The sequence below is a fragment of the Homo sapiens genome, chromosome 5, assembly GCF_000001405.40.
Source record: "Homo sapiens chromosome 5, GRCh38.p14 Primary Assembly".
NCBI lineage: Eukaryota > Metazoa > Chordata > Mammalia > Primates > Hominidae > Homo > Homo sapiens.
In genome coordinates, this window is record NC_000005.10 from 158,337,513 (window position 1) to 158,359,388 (window position 21,876).

The following is a 21,876-nucleotide window of genomic DNA, read 5'->3' on the forward strand; positions in this document are numbered from 1 at the left end:
ATTTGTCCTCCTTTTGTCCATTCTCAATGCCTTCCTTCTGAAGATCTGCTCATTGTGTGCCATTCTTCTTGATGGTGTGGTCTTTCAGTGGGAGAAGCTCTTCCTGGCTGCACCTAGTCAGCCATCTTGGGTCCTCTCTTCATCCCAAAGTTTTGATAAGTTGTATTTTCATTTAATTTTGTATATTTAAAAATTTCTCTTGATATTTTGACTCATGGGTTGTTTCGAAGAGTGTTTAATATCTAAATATTTTGGGATTTTCCAACTATCTTTCTGTTATTAATTTCTAGTTTAATTCCACTGTGGTCTGAGAACATATTTTGCATGATTTTTATTCTTTTAAATGTGTTGATATGTATTTTATGGCCCATAATGTAGCCTATTTTGGTGAATGTTCCATGTGAGCTTGAGAAGAGTGTGTATTCTGCTGTTCTTGGATGAAGTATTCTATAAATGTCAATTAGATCCAGTTGATTGATGGTGCTGTTCAGTTTGACTGTACCCTTACAGATTTTCTCCCTGCTGGATCTGTCAATTACTGAGAGGAGTTTTGAAGTTTCCAACTATAATAGTGGACTCATCTGTTTTTCCTTGCAGTTCTATTACTTTTTGCTGCACATTTTTTTTTGATGTTTTGTTGTTAGGCACATACATGTTAAGAAATTACTTTCTTTTTAGAGAATTGACCCTTTTACCATTATGTAATGTCCCTCTTTATCTCTGATAATTTCCTTTTCTCTGAAGTCTGTTTTATCTGAAATTAATATAGCACCTCCTGCTTTATTTTGATCAGTGTTTGCATGGTATGTCTTTCTCCATTCCTTTACTTTTCATCTTTCTATGTCTTTATGTTTAAAGTAAGTTTCTTGTAGACAACATATAATTGAGTCTTGTTTTTTTTAAAATCCATTTTGACAGTCTCTGTCTTTTAATTGGTATATTTAGACCATTAACATTAAAAATACTTACTGATATAGTTGTATTGATATTGGTCCCATTTATAACTATTTTGTAGTCATTACCCTTGGTATTTATTTCTTTTTGGTCTTCCACTTTTTCTTCTGTCTTCACTGGCTTTAATTGAACATTTTAAATTTCATTTTCTCTCCTATCTTAGTATATCCTTTATACTTGTTTTAAAAATTCTTTCATTGTTTTCCCTAGAGTTTGCAATATGCATAGATCATTAATTTAATTTCACTTTTATATGGACACTAAACCATGGGCACATATTCTGTGTGTGTGTGTGTGTGTGTGTGTGTGTGTATCTTTCAAGATTTTCTCTTTATGTTGACTTTCTACAATTTGAGTATAATATCTTTATGATGTGTGTCATTATTTTTGGAAAATTCTCCTCCATTATTACTTCACTATTACTTATTATTGCTTTTTTATTACCTATTATTTCTTCTGATCTTTTCTTGTTATTTTCCTTCTGGTATTCTCATTGCAGATATGTAATCTTTTGTAACTGTTACACAGCTCTTGGATATTTTGCTTCTTTTTAAATTTTTTTCTCTTAGTTTTTCAGTTTGAGAAGTTTCTATTGGCGTATCTTCAAGTTTACTGATTGTTTCCTCAACTATATCCAGTCTACACATAAGCCCATCAAAGGCATTATTCATTTCTGTTACAGTGGTTTCGATCATTGTCTTAAAAAAATTCCCTTTTAAAGTTTCCATCTTTTTTTTTTTTGAGATGAAATCTCACTCTCCCAGGCTGGAGAGCAGTGGTGCAATCTCAGCTCACTGCAACCTCCATCTCCCGGGTTCAAGTGGTTCTTTTGCCTCAGCCTCCGAGCAGCTGGGATTACAGGCGTGGGCCACCATGCCCAGCTAATTTTTGTATTTTTAGTAGAGGTAGGGTTTCACCATGTTGGCCAGGCTGGTCTCAAACTCCTGACCGCAAGTGATCCACCCATCTCAGCCTCCCAAGTTGCTGGGATTACAAGCATGAGCCACTGCACCTGGCTAAGTTTCCATCTTTTTGCTTTCATTACCCATCTCTTCTTGCATGTCATCTACTTTTTCTGTGAGAGTCCTTAGCTTACCAATCAGTTATTGTAAGTTCCCAGTCTGATATTTCCCAAGTCTCTGCTGTATCTGAGTCTGGTTCTGATACTGGGTTTGTTTCTTCAAGCTGTATTTTTTGCATTTTAGCATGCCTTTTAAATTTTTTTTGAAAATTAGACATAGTATATTAGGTAAAAGGAACTGAGATAAACAACACTTTAGTGTGAGATTTTATGTTGATCTGGCTAAAAGTTAGACTGGGCTTACCGCTTGCAATGGCTAAAATTTCCTGTAGTGTCCTTGTTTTTGTCTCCCTGCATATCTGTGAGTTTGCTGAGATACTCCTTCTGAAACAGAGTCTGAGCTTTGCAGTTCTTTCAGCTATACTCTCTCATTATTATACATGAACCCTGCTGATGTGATGATAAGGTTTGGGATGTGGGGAAGCATTCTATATACCTATGATTAGGTTTTAGTCTTTTAGTGGACCTATGCCCTTCTTCTGTAACATTCAAAAATGCATCTTGGCTTTTTTTTCTGGTTAGGTGAGTCAGGAAGGCTAGCAGAGGCTACAAGGTGTTTCTCACCTCTGAAGTTAGTTGGGCTTCCGTAAAATAGTTTCCATTGAGGATAGATCTTCACTACTCAGAATACAATGCTCTGGGTGTATTTCGAAATGGTTACTTTTCCCCTCCCTAAACTGACAGATCAGGGGTATATCCCCTACCCCATCTTCACCCTGGTAACCTGTTGGGGCTTTTGGAGGTAAAACTCATGAAAGTGTGGGGTCCCCCTAAGGCTGAGCACCAGAGATTTTTAATATCTCAAGCTAGTCCAAGCTCAGGCTCCAGCAATTAGTCAATTACTTTTTGAATGCTCCTACTGGGTTCCAGCTATAGCTGCTATCCTAAGTCTGATTCTCTGTATTCTCCTATCTCTCCTGTTTTGGGTGACAGTCTGACAATTTTCCCTGTGACCTCAGATCTCTGATGTATCTCAGAAAAATTGTTTATTTGCAGTTTGTTCAGCTTTTTTCCTGTTCTGGAGACCAGATGTCTCCTCCTTGTTTATTTATTTATTTAATCTTATTTTTTATAGCTGAATAGTGTTCTATTATATGAGTGTACCATAATCTATTTAATCAGTCTCTTATTATACACAATTAGAATGATTCCATTTTTTGCTATAATAATCCCCAGTACATTCCATTTTTTGCTATTATAAGTAATCCCCAAATGTAGGGCTGTATTTGTGAGCCAGTGTACTGGTAGGATAAATTCCAAGAACTGCAATCACTTGGACAAAAAGTAGTTATAATTTTTATGGACATTGCAAAACTACCCTTCACATGGAATTGTACTAGTTGGCCCTCTTACTAACAATATATGAGAGGGTATGTTTTCTCAAAGGCTCAGCAAAAGTGTATATTAACAAACGTTTGGATTTTTGTGGTTGTGTTATGGTAATGGATACTATCTCATTTTACTTTTAATTTGTGGTTATCTCATGATGTTAGGCTTGTATTCCATTTTATGTTGCTGCATCAAAATTACCACAAACTTAGAGATTTAAAACAACAGACACTTATTATCTCTCAGTTTCTATGGCTCCAGATTCCAGGCATAGCTTAACTGGGTTCTCTGTAAGGCTTCAATCAATGTGTCAGTGAGGACTGAATTGTTATCTAGAGACTCACCTGGGGAAGAGTCCATTTCCAACATCACTCAGGTTGTTGGCAGAAATATATTTTTTGCAGTTGTAGGACTGAGGCTCTGGCTTCCTTTTGGCTCTTTGCTATCAGCTGGTGGCCACTTTTGAGGCTGCCCTCAGTTCCATACCATATGGGTGTTCCAACAGGCTGTCTTATTTATTCTGCAATGTAAAAAGTATCTGCAGAAACCTATATAATGAGAGAAAATATTTGGAAACTACACATCTGACAGAGGTCTAATATCCAGAATCTATAGGAAACTTAAATCAAGCAAAAAACAAACAACTCCATTAAAAAGTGGGCAAAGGACATGATCAGACACCTTTCAAAAGAAGACATACATGCAGCCAACAAACATATTTAAAAAATGCTCAACATCACTAATCATTAGAGAAATACAAACCAAAACTACAGTGAGACACCATCTCACACTAGTGCTATTATTAAAATATCAAAAAGATAACAGATGCTGGTGCAGTTGTGGAGAAAAGGGAATGCTTATACACTGCTGGTGGGAATGTAAATTAGTTCAGCCCTTGTGGAAAGCAGTTTGACAATTTCTCAAAGAATTCAGAGCAGAATTACCATTCAAAGCAGCAATCCCTTTATTGGGTATATACCCAAAAGAATGTAAAGTGTTTTACCACAAAGACACAGGTATTCTCATGTTCATTGCAGCACTATTCACAATACCAAAGACATGTAATCAACCTAAATGCTCATCAGTGGTAGACTGAACAAAGAAAATGTGGCACATACACACCATGGAATACTACACAGCCATTAAAAAAACAAGATCATGTCCTTTGTAGCAACATGGATGCAGCTGAAGGCCATTATCTTAAGTGAACTAACACAGGAATTATCTTAAGTGAACTAACACAGGAATAGAAAGCCAAATACGACATGTTCTCACTTGTGAGAGCCTAAACATTAAGTACATGTGGACACAAAGAAGGGAATAGAGGACGCTGGGGCCTACTTGAGGATGAAGGGGTGAGGTCTACTTGAGGATGGAGGTTGAGGGTCCTATACTTATTACTTGGGTGGCAAAATAATGTGTACATCAAACTCCTGTGACATGCAATTTACTAAATAACAAACCTGCACATGTACCCCTGAACCTAAAATAAAAGTTAAAAAAAAAAAGAGAGAGAAAGTATCTGCAGAGTCTACAAATTAGATGGAGTCTCATATAATATAATGGTGGATGGAAGTGACATGCCATCATCTGTGCCATATTCTGTTAGTTAAAGCAAGTCATAGGTTCCACCCACACTCAAGGGGTGGGAACTTCACAGGAGTATAAACATCAGGAGGGGATCTGCCATTGTCTGTTGGCTGCAGGTTGAACATCTTTTTTGAAAAATCTTTTTATGTTCTTGAGAGCCATGTTTATTTCCTTTTATGTAAACTCTGTTCATATCACTTTTCCATTTCTATATTGAGCTATCAGCCTTTATCATATCCATTTCTGGGAGCTCTTTATATATTAAGGCAATAAGCCTGTGACTGTGGTTTGAATTTCAATATTTATTCCCAATTTGATATTTGTAAAAGTTTGGTTTTTTCCCACACAGAAGGAATTTTTTAAAAGTGTATCTAGGAAATTTTACGTTTATGACTTCTGGATTTGAGTAGTAGTTAGAAAGCCCTTCTTTCATCTAGGTTTATAAATGAATTTTCCATGTTTTTTCTAGTACTTAAATGAATTACTGTTTTTTTAAAAAATGAATTTTAAGTCCATTTGGAACTTCCCTTGCTGTATGGTGTAAACTTTGGTTCCAGCTTTATTTTTTTCAAGATTTTATGCTCAGAGTTATTTAAACTCCATTTATAGAATAATCTAGATTTCTCCAACTTATTTGAATTGCTTTCTTTATTATGCACTAATTCTCATATGTATTTGGGCACCCTCTATGGAGTTTTTATACTAATTTATTGGTCTTTCTGTTTATTCTACTGGCTGTACTACTCTTTTTTTAAATATAAAGTGTTTATATTTTAATGTAATAAGGGTACACTGCTCTCATTTTTCTTTAAAGAGATCCTCCCACCCACACAAAGTTCTCCTAGCTATTATTTCTCTTTATTTTTTTTCATAGGATGATTAGAGTGAGAATATCTGTTTGTAACTATCCCCACAAAAAGCTTGTATTTTTATTGGGATCATATTACATTTATACATGAATTTAAGAAGAATAGTAATCTTTTTGTTGTTGAGTATTTCTATTCACTAGTATTATAAATACAGTTTTAATTTATTCTAGCATTATTTTGTACCTTTAGTTCTGTTTTAAAGTTTTCTTGTTTGGTGTCCAATATTTGTAATTAATTTCATCCGAGTATTTTATCTGTGTTGTGCTTATGTGAATAAATTCTTTTTTTCCATCATGTCTTTTAATTGGTCATTGTATTTGTTCATATGTTTATACATATAGGCTATTGCTTTCTGTTACTGAGTCCTGTTACTTTACTCAACTATTTTATTTTTATTTTTTTGTAGCCATTTTAGTTAATTCTCTTAGGTTTTCCAGGTATGTAAATGTAATCTGCAAAAAGTGATAGGTTTACCTTAGTTCTAATTTTCATACATTTATTTTCTTTCTCTTTTCTAATTATGTTGCCCAGCATTTCTAATAATATGTTAAAGATAGTGTGATGATAGTGCATGTTTGTCTTGATTTTTACTTTAAATCCATGGTGTTGGGGGGCATTTGGGAATGCATGAGGTATATTTTGTTTCCATAATAACTGGGGAAATTTCCTCCTGGAATTTAGTGGATGAGTGACACATGAGTCTAATGCCAATAGAACACTTGTTGAGCAAAATGAGTCTAGTATTTTTCCAATGACCATTGGCTCAAGATAAAATATAGTTTATTCCTATTTTATTAAATGTTTTTGTGAAGAATGATTGAATTCTGTCAAATGCCTTTTTAGCACTTATGGGGATAATTATAATATTTTAATGCTAATATCTCTACTAGTGTGATAGGTCATATTATGATATGATTAATAGATATCGTAATATTGAAAATCTCTTGTATTCTTAGAATAAACCCCACTTGGTCAGCTGCATTTTTTTAAATATGATGTTAGATTATGTATGTTAATGTTTATTTAAAATGCTGGCATCAATACTCATGAGTGAGACTGGCCTATCATTTTCTTGTTTGTGTGGGTGTATGTGCTTGTGTGTCTGTGTCTGTAGGTGCACATGCTCAATTTTTGTTAGGCTTTAGTTTCATTTTAGGTAGAATTGAAATTATTTGCTTTTTAAGATTTGAAAGAATTCCCCCATGAAATCATCTGGACATGTGGTTTGGGAAATCATCTGGACATGTGGTTTGGGGTGGGATGGAGGTAGTGGTTATAGCCAAACAACTTCCTCTATGTCTTATTTGGAAATCATACTGCTTACGTTTTTCTATACTTTCCGAGGTCTGTTTTGATAAAATATGTTGTTAAGGAATATTATCCACTTCATCAGTGCTTTCAAATTTATTGACATTGATTTATGCAAAATTATTTCTTACTTTGAAGTTATTTCCCTTTTATAATTTTTATTTTTAATATTTGTGTCCTCTTTTTCTTCATTAGGTTAGGGAGTTTATCTTTTATTTTTAAAATAACAATCTTTTCAAAGGTCAAAAGAATATTTGTACTCTTCAAGGAAGAAAGAAATATTAAAAATATACATGTATCTGTTCATTTGGGCAAAATAAATACAGAAAGTATAAACCAGAAACTAATTAGACTGCTTACCAATGTGGATGGATGGTAACAAGGTGAAAAGAATGAGGGCATGAAAATGGGGCATAAGGATAAGTGGGGAGCAATACTTCTTCAAGTATACATTTTTATATAGCTTTAACTCTTAGAACCATGATAATTTTTCACATATTAAAAAAATAGTTAAAATCCATCAGGATGGAGGTGGGATCCAAACTAGAATATAAAAATACAAATGAACTCTCACTGTATTACAATTGAATAGCTTAATCACACTAAAAGGGATTGAGAAAAAAATTAACTTTGGAAATAGCTTGAATTTCATATGAAAATTCATAATATTCATAACTTTTGATTGCATACTAGAAGGCTAAAGACATAACTAATTTTACACAAATTTTGTACTCTAGCTTCTAAATTTGGTTCTTATGGGGATATGGCAAGCAATTCTGAATCTACTTTGTGTATATACTAGAATTGGACTAATAAATATAGATAATGAAAGCACATTTTTCACTTTCAGGGAACAAGTTATAATAAAGAAAGGAGGAAGGAAAAGGGAAAGGGAAAAAGCCTTGTGTTTGTTAGATTAGAATTAGAAATATCAAAATGAACTTATAGTTGTTAATATATACAGACAGATACAGAAATAAATATAGGTGTGTGTATGCATAAGTTAGCATACATACATATCTTTTCTGGCTATGTCCAGTGAGAGGGGCTAGATACTCCAGTAGCACTGAGCACATCTGGCACTCAGTTTATGGCTTCTATATATCATCCTCCAGCAGCAGGAACCAGAGCTCCTTTAAGAAATACGATAGTGGATTCTAGGGATGTGATAGGAAAAATATAAGATGAGCCTGGAAAATATTGTGGTTTCAAAAGTAGGGAAGTATTTAAGAAAGGATGAGGACATGTTTGAAAGGACATTGGAAACACCTTGAAGATCCTTCCAATATCCAATGCTGAAACAATTTGAACAAAAAACTTAGGAATGACAGGTTGCATTACAACCTGTAGAATAAAATAAATTATTTGTGAGTCCATACTTCCATAAATATATGATTGAATAAATAAAAAAAATGGAATAAATAAGTAAATGGGGAAAAGAGACAGATCTTTCTTATGATGGCAGTCTATTGATAAATGTAGAAGAAATGATAGAAATAGAAAGCACCACTAACCAGAGACTACATGTTTTCTAATTGTATTTTTCAGTATGTGTTCTGAATCATTGTTTTATTTTCTTTTCCATGGACTCCAATTATGCAATTGCTATATCTTATCTTTTCTTCTATACCTATCCTTAATTATCAACCTTTTTTAAACTCATTTTCCTTTTTGATTGTCTTTCTTACTGCTACCTACTATTTATCTTAACTGAAAGACTTACAGTGTCCTTTCTCCCATTTGCTCATTCAATATTGAATGGTTTTAATTTTTCTTATTTACTTTATATTTCTTACTGAGCTCTGCCAGTTCACTTTTAATTTCCAATCTCACCATTCAATTCCTGAGACTCTGCATCTCTGCTTTCAAGTATTCCTTCAGAGGCATAATTATATTCCTCATGGTTTAAAATTCATAATATGATGTCTGGTCATATTTTCTGTCTACTCCATGGTAACACTTTCCTAGTGAGTGTTTTTTATCTACTGGTGAGTTTTGTTGCTCTTCTCCATATTCCTTCCCATAGTATTTTTGTTTTTTTAAAAAAATTACTCATCATTACATTATTTGGATTTTCTTTGGACAGATATTTGCACGAGGCACACTGTTGGGGTGTGGCAGATGTTCAGTGTAGCCTTCTTCTGCCATAAAGACAAGCTGTTTCCTGCAGAGATGGCCTATTTCTATGACTATCTGCCCAGCTCTTTCTTCTCCCAAACTGATCCAGCTCTGCTTGCCTAAATTCTCACATGCACTGTTGCAAACACTTGTTTGCTCTTTGAGTGAGACCCTTACAATCGGATACCATATTTTTGTTGGCACTTTCTTTGAATTTCCACTGATGGGCCTTGTCAACGTTCCCCATGTGTTGCCTCTTCACTTCCTTCCATGGGGTTTCTGATCTCAACTATTTTTTGCAGCTACTTTTTAGTGTCTGTAGATATAGCTTTCTTTTAGTTTCATTAAAAATAGAGTTTGTGGTGAGTTTTTCAATTTCCTTGTTGCTTTTTTTTTAAAAAAATGATTTTTTAGGAGAAAAACAAAAACAATGGCTTACTTTGTTTTGTTTACATTAGAATCATTTTTTTGTATCATAGAACTGTTTCTTAAAGTTAACACAGAGGTTTTTAAATAAGTTATTAGCTCTACATTACCTTGGGCAAATGGCTAAACCCTTGCAAGCTTCAGTTTCTTCATCTTTAAAATGGGGATAATATTAGTGGTGGTGAGGACTGAATGAGATAACATACGTGAAGTGTTTAACAGGATGTTTGACAAATAATAAGTAATCAATAATTATAGTTTATGAGGCAAACTGGCCAAAAATACATTTCTATCTGGGATTTGGCATTACTATTTGAGAAGTCTGGGTCTTGGTAAATTTGACTTAATTTCTCAAGATTTATAGTGTTGAATCCTTAACATTTATTTATGCCTATAATAAAAGAAAAGAAACCAACAAATCATGTATTTGCACATTTTCTGAGTGTGGTAGACTTGTCAAATGTAAGATAGCTGATAATAGACAGCCTGGATGTGGCCGGTCATGGTGGCTCATGCCTGTAATCCCAGCACTTTGAGAGGTTGAGAGGCCGAGGCAGGTGGATCACTTGAGCTCAGGAGTTCTAGAGCAGCCTGGGCAACATGGCAAAACCCCGTCTCTACCAAAAATACAAAAAATTAGCCAGGCGTGGTGGTGCATACCCATGGTCTGAGCTACTCGGCAGGCTGAGGTGGGAGGATCGGTTGAGTTCAGGAGGTAGAGGTTACAGTGAGCTGAGATCACGCCACTACACTCCAGCCAGGGTGACAGAATGAGATCCCATCAAGAAGAGAGAGCCTGGATATGAAGAAAAGCTTTGTTTGGTAGAGCAGACACCCTAATTTCGGGCAGTGGTGTTTAACCAGGGAGGGACTCTCCCAAAGAGTTTTTACAAAAGACACATGACCTTGCTACGCTCACGATCTACAGAGTTAGAATCAGTGGGTGATGCGGGCATGTGCAGGCTGCAGAAGCTCCCCTGGTGACTCAGATGTGCATCAAAGGTTTATGGCCTCATCAGCTTCTACTGGAATAACTGCAACAATGTCTTGACTGCATTTGACTGGCATAGGTTCCTCTCCAGTTTATTCCATACCCAGTTATTCAATAAGCTTACTCAGATTCTATTTTCTTAATCAAATGGCATATGCTATCTTGTACTGCACCTTGGGTTAAAGCATAGAAAGAAGGCCTTTAACAATAACTTTTTGCATACTTGACATTGAACATATAACTTAAACTTGAAGCCTTGGTTTTCTCATGGTTTTGTGCATCTGTCCTTTTTCATTAGTGAGACTGTACAGTAATAGGACTATTTCTTATACTTCTCTGAATCCCTTAGGATCCTCAATCAGGATCAAACCCTAAAATGGTAGTGTTAAAGATGATCAGGCATAAAGGAAAAAAAGAGAAAGAGAGGCTTCCACTGAACATATTCACATATAGTTTTGATAGTTTGCTTCTTTTGCTGTTGATAACAAATATATCTCCAGTTAGGGTAGGAAGAAGGGGAGAGTTTTATTACTTTAATTTGTTTGCAATAATTCTGTGCACATCTAACACTGTCAGTTGTTCCTACTAGGTGCTCAGTAATTGCTTGCAGAATTGAAATGTTCAGTATAAATGGATCATAACAGGGGAAATGGAAAACAAAGCAAAACCAAATCTCTTTCTTTTAACCATGAGTTTTTTCTTATCACTATGTGAGTGGGGAGCTTTTCCACATTAAGATCCCATGCCTGCCAGTTTGTATAAGACAAAGATCCTGTCCTCCAGCTAGTTATAAAGAACATGAAATAAAACTGGATCCTTTGTGAGCATCAGACCTTAGGTTTATTTTTGTTCTAGATTTTAGATCCACTTTATGACCCAGAATATGCTTATTAGAATGGGCAAAGGGCTTACTTTCAGTTCCATAAACTCTTATTGCCATTTATTATACATTTTATTATTAATTACATATTTATGCTAAAAGACCCATTCTGTAAACAAATTCGGCTTTTGATTTTAAAAATTCAATTGAGGTGAGTAAATTCACAGGGAACTTTCTGCTCTGTCCCTCACTCAATTATTAATAACCAGTGTAATCATTGCGATGTGTTTCAATGTCTGGTTTGGGCTCTTACTATATGAATCTTTCAATTCAAAACTAGATTCTTATTTTTACTTTCTCTTCTTTAAAATGAAGAAGCCATATCTTTGCAATACATTTTTATTTCCTTTATTCAGGGATAGAGAACACCAGCTGTGTTTAGCTTTCCCAAGGTTCAAAATCTTACCTGGGGTGTAAAGAAATAGAGCAGTATCTTGGTCTCCGGATGAGATGATTACTGAAGCTATCACATGCTGGCACTGTAAGCATCCCCAGCTACAACATTTATTGATGCAAAGAATAAAAAGCAATACTGGGAAAAACTAGGGTGATCAAAAATCTCTTTGGTTCATGGATTAGGTAGTGTCAGACATCTCATTTTGAAAAGAACTGCTGTCTGGATTGAGAGAGTGTGCCGTTTTATTCATATGATGGATTTGGGGTTCTGGGATGTGTGTGTATTTAATTTTACAAGAAGTGGTCTGATCAGAAAAGGGCTTCTCATTATGTTAAAGGCAACACATGTTTTGTGAGAGCAGGGAAGGAAGGTACAGATGGATCACATGGTTAATTCAGCTAAGTGGCCAAATCAGTGCTCAGTGGCATCTTTTGAAGGCAACCAGTTTGAAAGTAGAAAGTGACTTGTCCGTTTAAAAAGCAGGGATGGGCAGTGAGAAAGTTCTTTGGAAATGAAATCTGTTTAATATGGCGTAAAAGCATTAAAGATAATAAAATAACAATGCTGTTTCCATAGACCGACTCTTTTGCTAAGCAAACACCAAAACATCATTCAATTTCCCAGATGCAAGGACTAGTTTTCAAAAGATGGATTCATGTTACCCTGGAAAGCTCCCAAGCAAATAATGTCTCTTTATTGGAAGCAAATGAAGAAAAAAGAGGATCTGTGGGGGAGTGGAAGCTACGTAATTGTATTAAAACATAAACTCAGCAGTTCAGATAGGGATTCGGGGGAGAGATAGTTGCCCTGGCTTTGGGAGGAGAGAAGCAAGCTGTGATTAGAACAACTTGATAGGGGAATCTTATTCGTGAATGAGAAGATGCTGGGGAAAGACACAGACCCTCAAGTCGAGAATTCATCCAGGATTGTATTTAATCTAGTTTTTCTGCACTCTGGGGACCCAAAAGACTTTGGTGTTTGCCTATCTGGCAGGGGAAGCAGAAGAGCAATAATTTTTAACAATTCAGACACTAGGCCCTGGAAGCCTTGGATTTAAATTACGACTCTACTCTCTAATAGTTGGGTGACATTGGACAATTCACTCAACCTCTCTGGTTTTGTTTTCTTGTTTTTAAATGAGGATAGAAACTAGTATATATTTCATAAAGTTTGAGGAAAGATGGAAAACACGAATATGTACAAAGCATTTAGCAAATTGCTTAGCATATAGTTAGAATAGATAAATCTGAGTTCTATGATATACTGCTATTATAAAATAGTGGTTATAATAATAACATTGAAGTGAAGATTTAAGCTTCAGAGTCTTCCTTGATTAAAATGACTAACTCCACTAAACAGTTTTCTCTTGTATATTCACTAAATGTTTCTATACTTGAGTTCCCCAAGAAGGACTTATATCAGGCTGGGCGCGGTGGCTCACGCCTGTAATCCCAGCACTTTGGGAGCCCGAGGCGGGTGGATCACGAGGTCAAGAGTTCGAGAGCATCCTGGCCAACATAATGAAACCCCATCTCTACTTAAAAAATACAGAAATTAGCTGGGTGTGGTGGCGTGCACTTGTAGTCCCAGCCACTAGGGAGGCTGAGGCTGAAGAATCACTTGAAGCCAGGAGGTGGAGGTTGCAGTGAGCCGGGATTGCACCACTGCACTCCAGCTTGGCGACAGAGCAAGCCTCCGTCTCACAGAAAAAAAAAAAAAAGGACCTATATCAAGGAACTTGTATTGAAAGCATGCATTTATTCATTTGTCAGTTATTCATTCAATAAGCATTTATTTTATTTATTTTTTTAAATTTAATTTTTGTTTTTAATTTGTGTGAGTATATAGTAGGTGTAAACAAGCATTTATTGAGTATTAGACTCTGTTAGCAGCCAGAGATATCTGTGAGGGTGAAAAGGCAGATTCTTCTATTTGAGTAATTTATAATTGGCAGGGGATATATGTAGTTAAACGACCAATTAAACTTAGTTCTAGGTATTTGAGAGAAGTGAGGCTCAGGAAAGGCTTTGTAGAAGAAGCATCATCAAAGTTGAGACCAGGAGGATAAGTAGGAATCACTCAGCTGAAGGGGAGTCCAGCCTGGATGAGAGCAGGGAGCACAGCTCCAGGAACGCAGAGAGTATTTACAAAGGCAATGAAGTGGGAAAGTGCTTGGGGGACCATCCAGTGTGGCTGATAAGGGATGAAGAGAAGAGTGACCAGGATGAGAGGCTGGTTGGGCTTTGTTGACCACTTTCAAAGAGTATTCATTTTGTCCTGAGGGCAATGAAGAGAAAGGGCAAGAGAAAATCCTGACGTTTCAATGGAAACCCTGGTCTACATTTTTTCATGCCATTTTACTTTTAGTTATTCCATTTTACCCTCACAACATGTCTAAGACATAGAAATGGACAGGTGTCTCTCCCCTTCGGTAGCCAAGGAAACAGCCTCAGAGAGAGCCTCCTCCCTGGTCACATGCCAAGTTTCATTTTACCAGCCAGCCTGGTGACAAAAAGCATCTCTTCCTTTCTCCTCCCAACACAACCTCTTTCCTCAAGTTTAATTGATGGGATGTTGACTCGGATATCGTTCAAGGAGAACAATTTATAGTATAGCGCAAGTCCTTTAGGAAGAAAGGTGATAGGATATGGACCCCTACAGCTTCCAAATTGCCTGATTCCGTGAAGCTCAACATGCCTTGACCTGCCTTCTCCAATCGGAAGCTGCAGTTGCGGCTGTTCTCCTTGAAACCCATTGAGGAAGCCATGAGAGGTTATCTCGACGATTCCCTCAAATCTTCGTCTGTGCCGCAAGGAAACTGTTACAAACAGAATTTGAAAAAGGTCCAAGTGTAGCAGTACATTGAACACAGATATCAAAACGTCCCAAAATGCCTCTTTGAGGAAATAGTATTTAATCGGAGAACAATTCATGGGTCTCAATAGGCCCAGATAGCCATAAGAATATACATACATACATATGTATCCACACACATATGCAAATGAGGAATGACAAACAAAAATAGGACCATGCCCAGCTTGAGATTTTTCCAGCCAGCAGAATACTCTGCATTTTCTTTACCATTTGAATGATTTCTCTCTCTCTCTTTTTTTTTTAATGCAGGGTGTTACTCTGTCACCCAGGCTGGAGTGCAGTGGTGTGATCTAAGCTCACTGCAACTTCCGCCTCCGGGACTCAAGCCATCCTCCCACCTCAGCCTCATGAGTAGCTGTGACCCCTGGTGCGCACGACCATGCCCAGCTAATTTTTGCATTTTTTGTAGAAACTGGGTTTTGCCATGTTGCTCAGGCTAGTCTCCTGGGCTCAAGCGATCCACCCACTTTGGCCTCACAAAGTGCTGGGATTATAGGTGTGAGCCACCGTGCCCCATCTCTCTTGTTTTTTTATCCTTAGGAAAGGCCAATGGATTCATGAACAATGATAAAATCCTGAGAACCAGTGAGTGCAAATAAGCAGAAAATAATTGGTTAAAGAGTCATTTTTTAAAATGACAACCTTCTGGTTTAGGAGGATGTTACATTAGTTACAGGGAATAAGGATGTTCTTTCCAGATATAACTGCTAACTAGGGTGACTATATAAGTCATTGTTAACTTTTGAAAAAGTAATTTATATTTTGAAATAATTTTAGAGTTACAGAAGAGTTACCAAAATAGTAAATATAGCCTTCATGTAGTATACACTTATGCTGACAGCTTATTTTTCGTTCAATACTGTTAACCTAAGTATATAGAACGTATCTGGATTTTACTAATTTTTCCAATAATGTTCTTTTTCTGTTCCAGGATCCCATGTTACCTTTAGTTTTACGTTTCCTTATTCACTTCCATTCTGTGACAGCTCCTTCATCTTTCCTTGTCTGTCATGACCTTAACACTTTTGAAAAGCACTTGTTGGTTATTCTGTAGAATGCTCTGCAATTTGGGTTTGTCTGAGGTTTTTCCCTTGATTATATAGAGGTTATGCATTGTTGAGAAGGCTACAACAGAGAAGATGTGCCCTAGGGGACATGCAACATCAATATATGTTACTAGCAATATTAGCCCTGATCACTTAGCTAACATTGATCACCTGGCTGTCTGCCTGGACTCTCTACTGTAAATTTACTATTTATTCCCTCTAAAATTACTAAATATTTTTGGGAATATACTCTGAGTTCATGCAGATATTTTATTTCTGTGTAAACTTTCACTCACCAACTTAATTATCCATTGGTGGGTCTTGCCTGCAACAATTATTATGGTGAAGTTCTAACGGTGATCTTCTATTTCTCTCATTCTTTTTACATTATTAATTAGAATTCTGTAAGAAAACGTAGTCATTTCTCACTTATTTATTTATTCAGTTATTTATTCAGTATTAGCTCCTGTTTTGTTTTTGTTCTTTGGATTATAATCCACTATTATAATTATTTATTTTGTTGCTGGATTGTTTCAATTTTAGCCATTGGTAGTGTTTTCAGGTTGCCTCCTGTGTCCTTTCAATATGCCTCCATTAAAAGAAAAATTTTTAAGAACTTCCTTACTTTCTTGCACCACAAGATACTTCAGGTTCAATGTGTATTTTCCCCTACCCCAACCCAGAAAGTATTGCAGTTCTTCAAGGAGCCTGGTTCCTTTTACTAGAGAATTTAAAAAGCCAAGGTCTGGGTACAAGGTATAATTATGGCTACTGAACTGTCACTGTTTCTAGGTTCCCTCAGTGGATATTGTTAGGAAATATATATATTAGTATGTGTACAAACTCATGCATACATACATACACATCTATATTTATTTCCCTAGCCTTTACCTGTATCTATCTATTCATTCCATAGAATTTCTAACCCATACCCTTGTGTTAAACAAATTTACCAGCCAGAGTACAATATTTGTTTAGGTTTTTCTGACTTTAGCTTAACAGTATCCACTCAAAGCATTCTGCCTAAAGAATATCTTTTAACATTTCTAGTAAACAGATATGCTCCAATAAAGTTCAGTTTTTGTTTGCTCAGAAAGTCTTTATTTCTCATTCATTGTTAAAAGGTATTTTCTGTAGATATAGAATTCTGGGATGACAGTTGTTTTTCTATCAGTGCTGTACTGTGCCTTAAAAATATCACTCCATTGTCTTCTGGCTAGCATGATATAATGTGAGACATTTGCTGTAATTCTTACCTTTGTTCCTCTGTATGTAATGTCTTATTTTCTCTAGTTATCTTTAACATTTTCTCTTTTTTTGTTTACAGCAATTTAAATATTAAGTTCCTAGATAAGTGAGATTTAAAAAAAAATAATTTTCAGCCATTATTTCTTCAAATATTTCTTCTCTTCCATTGTCTTTTTCTTCCCCTTCCTGGGATTCCAATTATGTGTATTTTAGAGTGATTTGCATTGTCTCACAGATCTTGAATGTTTGGTTCTGGTTTGTTTTTTTTTTTTTACAATCAATAAATAGACTTCTTCTCTGGACGTTTTCACTGTGTGTGTGTGTTTTTTTCCTCATTTATTTTTGTCTTTTTGTTTCAATTTGGGTAATCCTATTGACCTGTCTTCCAGTTCACCAATTCTTTCAGCAGCTGTGTTGTCTGCTTTTGAATCTGCTGAAGGCATTCTTAGCTGCTCCTCCTGTGTTTTCCATTTATGCTATTTTTACTTGATTCTTTCATGTAGTTTCATTTCTCTACTGAAGTTACTCATCTCATTTTGCATGCTCTCCACCTTTTACTTTAGAGCTTTTAGCATATTAATCACTGCTCTTTTTAATTCTCTGTCAGCTATTGCCAACACTTGTGTCATTTCTGAGTCTGGTTTTGATGATTGCTCTTTTACTTCTGAATGTGGTTTTCTTGCCTTCTTGCATGCTTTGTGTTTTGGTTTTTTATTGTCATTTGAAAACTGGACATCTTGTGTAGTACAGTAGAGACTGAAATAAGTAGATTTTTAAACTTACACTGGGCATGTCTTTTCCTCTGCCAGGCTTTAAGTATGGGAGTTTGAGTTATATTAGGGATTTGGCTGCATTTAGATTTTTTGTTGTTTTTGTTACTGTGGTTACCCTCAGAGTGTCATGGGCTTTAAATTATTGTAGATATACCTGTGGTTGCAGTACAAAAACAGAGAAATTTGTGTTTGATTCTGAATTTTAGGTCTTCCCTTTGTGCCTCATAAAGCATTTTTTTCACATGCTTATTTCTCCCCTGTTCTTTTCAAAACAGCAGTAGCCTTCTCTTATATGTTATCTGAAGCATACCAGCTTAGTGACGATTGAATGTGGGGATGTGATCTCAATTGTTCTCTTGAATACTCAGTCATAAACATAAACCCTATTCCAGGATCTTATGTGTGTGGATGGATGGTTCTCTTCCCTATGTAAGCATGTGCTCACATCTCTCCTCTCACTGTCTCTCTAGATTTTGGGCAAGACTTTGACACTTTAGCTCTCCAGTGGATTTTTTAAACTTCATGAATTTGAAGTTAGTCTGGCTCTTTTATTTTAATTTTTGTAACTGTGAGCAGCACTCCTAGCTCTCTACATCCTGGGATAGAAGCTGGAAATTCATTCAACCACTTTTGAGGGTGAAAGAGGCTCTTTTAAATAAGTATGCTAGGACCACATTTGTGAAGCAGGATTGCCCCCAGGCAAGCTGGAATGTATGGTCACTGCATAGGTAACTCTCATGAGGCAAAGGTGGCCTTCACTAGGTCTAGACAGCACGGCTTTTTGAGGAACTGAGTAAGCAAGAAGGAGATTTATATGTTAATTCTAGTTAAATCCAGAGGCTGGAACATACTTTGTGCTCAGTATGTATTTGCTGAATGAAAGAAAATTAATATGAAAATAATCTAAGTCACATAAAACTCCATGAAGAGCAAAGACCAACATTTTCTTCAAAATGCTTGATTTTTTAAACTAGATTTTCCCCTCTTTCCTCACACACACACAAATATATACACACATACACACTCACACACACTTCATGCTGTCTAAGATAATTTCCTCAGATCAATCCTTATTTCACACACTTTTGTGGGTGAGTAAATCCTTCTATCAGTGCTAGGGTAAAGATCTTTCTCTTTCTCTTCCTTCTCTTTCTCTCCCTGGATTTCACTGCTTGAGTCTCACACTGATAGCCTGGTTTCTTCTAGAAACAAAGTAACTCCATTATTTTATCCCTTGCAACTCTCTCAGAGGGAACCCAAAGGGCTGGCCTGTCCTTCTAGTGCCATAAATTGCAGAGACTTAGCCTTAGCAACATGGCCGGTTAATTGTGCTCGCACAAAACCCAGTATGGATCTGAGGCCGGAACAGTTCTGCTCTGTGTTATTGTTCCCCCACCCTGCAGAACCACAGAGTCACAGCATCTGAGGCTTGGAAGAAATCTTAAAAACCAAACATACAATGATCCTCAGCTTTCACTCTGTCACAACACACAGGAGGGATAATGTAGACAATGATAAGAACCTCCCATGGATGTAGGTCAGGCAAGTTTACTAACTATAAAAATAATATGGTTTCTGGGTATATGCGATTTTAAAATTTTAATTATCTGAGCTATTCCATACCAATCCAATAGTTTCTATTGCTTGTAATCAAGGAACTAATACAGATCCACTTTAATTTATATGATTTTAAAATTAATCAAAAAATGTTCTCTATTAGTAGTAATAAATTACCTGTGATAGCCCATATGAGTGATTATGGACCTAGCAATGTATCAAGAAGCAAAGTTGAAAACTTCTTAACTAATCTAACTCTTCACCTGAGATTTGAGACTTCTTTATATTTCTGCCAAGTAGTTATTCATTGTCCACTTGCGTCACTCCAGTAACAGAGGATCTCACTTTTTCCTGAGAAAACTCTAATTTTTTTTTATTTTTTATTTTTGAGATGGAGTCTCTCCCCTGTTGCCCAGGCTGGAGTGCAGTGGCGCGATCTCAGCTCACTGCAAGCTCTGCCTCCCGGGTTCAAGCAATTCTCCTGCCTCAGCCTCCGGAGTAGCTGGGACTACAGGTGCCCACCACCACACCCGGCTAATTTTTTTTTTTTTGGATTTTTAGTAGAGACGGGGTTTCACCATGTTAGCCAGGATGGTCTTGATCTCCTGACCTCGTGATCTGCCTGCCTTGGCCTCCCAAAGTGCTGGGATTCAGGTGTGAGCCACTGCGCCTGGCCGAAAACTCTAATTATTAATAAGCTCATTCAAGTGGAGTTGAAATTTATTTCTCCATGATTGCTTTTATTGTGTATCCTTAGGTCCTATAGCAAGTATCTGTGAAGAAGTCTTTGCATATGGCAGACATTAGCTCTTTCCCTGTGGTCTTAGCCAAACCTCTGATGATACCACGGGACTTGGTCTATTACTAATTTTTAAAGCGGATTTTGCTTAATGATTTGGGTTGATTAGCTTTCTAGAAGCAGAAGCAAAAAAGAACATTTTGGATCATGTCCAACCAAGAGAAGTGTCTGGAGCTAGTCCACTGGGAGAACTTAGAAGTAAGGAAAGCACAGAGAAGGTGCCCTTTGCCCTCTCTAAATATCACCAAATTCCAGTCTCACTCAAAGGGGCAGTAGATTCTGAGAAAGGAAAGTTATCTCTATGAAAATTTATGCTGATCCTCAGTATGAGGGAAAACAAAATTATTTTCTGGGCACAGCAAGAGTTTATAGGTAGAACAGTAGAGTACTTAAGAAACTGGATTTCAAAAAGAGACTACCTGGGATCAAATCACAGCTCTGCCACTTACTAGTCATGTGATTTGCAGCAAATTCTTTAATCTCTGTAAACATTAGCTTTTTCATCTGTAAATTGGGAATAATTAATAATAGTACCTACGTCATAGGGTTATTTTAATAATTAAATGTGATAAGGCATGCATATGATTATTAACAAGTATTATTTACATTTAAACCTTTACATTCAAATTGAAGAAGGTAGTATTGGTTGATTTTATAGATAAGATAACCCCTATTTTTCAAAAATTAAAAATGTATCCAAATTAAGAATAACACTTATTTAAATGGTTTCCTCCTTCTCTTTTTTTCCCTGGTTGACTGACGTTTGGCAGCAAATGATAGCTTTGCCCATTTCATCTGGGCAGCTCTTTTTAAAAAACTGTTGATAACTTTGGGAATACAGCATTTACACCTAAGGGCTTCTTAATGTTAATGAGCCCTTAGGTGTAAATTGTGATTCGGACGCATGGGACTTTTTTTCTCTGATGCTGCATAGAGAACCTCCAAAATATTTTGAGTCACCTCTTTGGATTAGAAATTCTGTGCAGACATAGCCAACATTGTTGCTGGAGGGAACATATGAAAAGGCCAAAGTGAGAAAAATCACAGCCTGGGGATAAAAGAATAATAAAAAGGAAAAACAATAGAAATCTTTATGAAGAGCATTGAGACCAACATTTGAGCTACCTGCAATGTTTATTATAAACTAGGGGACAATGAAATACATATTCCCTGACAATGTCTTTCAAACTTTAACTGGTGGTGTCTCATTGCTTGATTTAAATGAGGTTAACATTTTGCCATACATTCTACAAGCCAAAGTATTTTATCATAAATTGTTTTCATGTCTTCTTCCTATTTTCTCTTGGGTTGTATGTTAGTCTAATTTATATTAGGTTGTTTTATTGCTATTCTTGTTGTGCTGTTTATTAACCTTATTCTTATTAGTTTGTAAAAACTCTTGACATGTCAAGGAAATTACTCCTTTTAGATTAATACATTTTCATATTTTAAGTAGTAAAAATAATGGCATGACAGTGTCTAAAACAAGACTCAGAGCAATATCAGTATGTCTTTAAGGCCTGGAAAATGATTGTGTATGTGTTTATTTTAGATACTTTATTTGTCATATCAACATGCAGTATCCCCAAATTAGTACTTACAATAATTAAAGTAAAAACAAAAGTTAAGCTTTTAT

The 21,876-nt window shown here is 36.0% G+C and overlaps 1 long non-coding RNA gene across 1 annotated transcript in view; it reads right to left on the reverse strand.

Annotated features, from left to right (window-relative positions):
- The window catches only part of LINC02227 (long intergenic non-protein coding RNA 2227), an 89,091-nt gene that overhangs the window by 16,830 nt on the left and 50,385 nt on the right, over positions 1-21,876 (reverse strand). Inside the window, exon 5 of the long non-coding RNA NR_109888.1 lies at positions 3,709-3,912. This is a non-coding gene — a long non-coding RNA (long intergenic non-protein coding RNA 2227). The remainder of the gene's footprint in view (positions 1-3,708; positions 3,913-21,876) is intronic.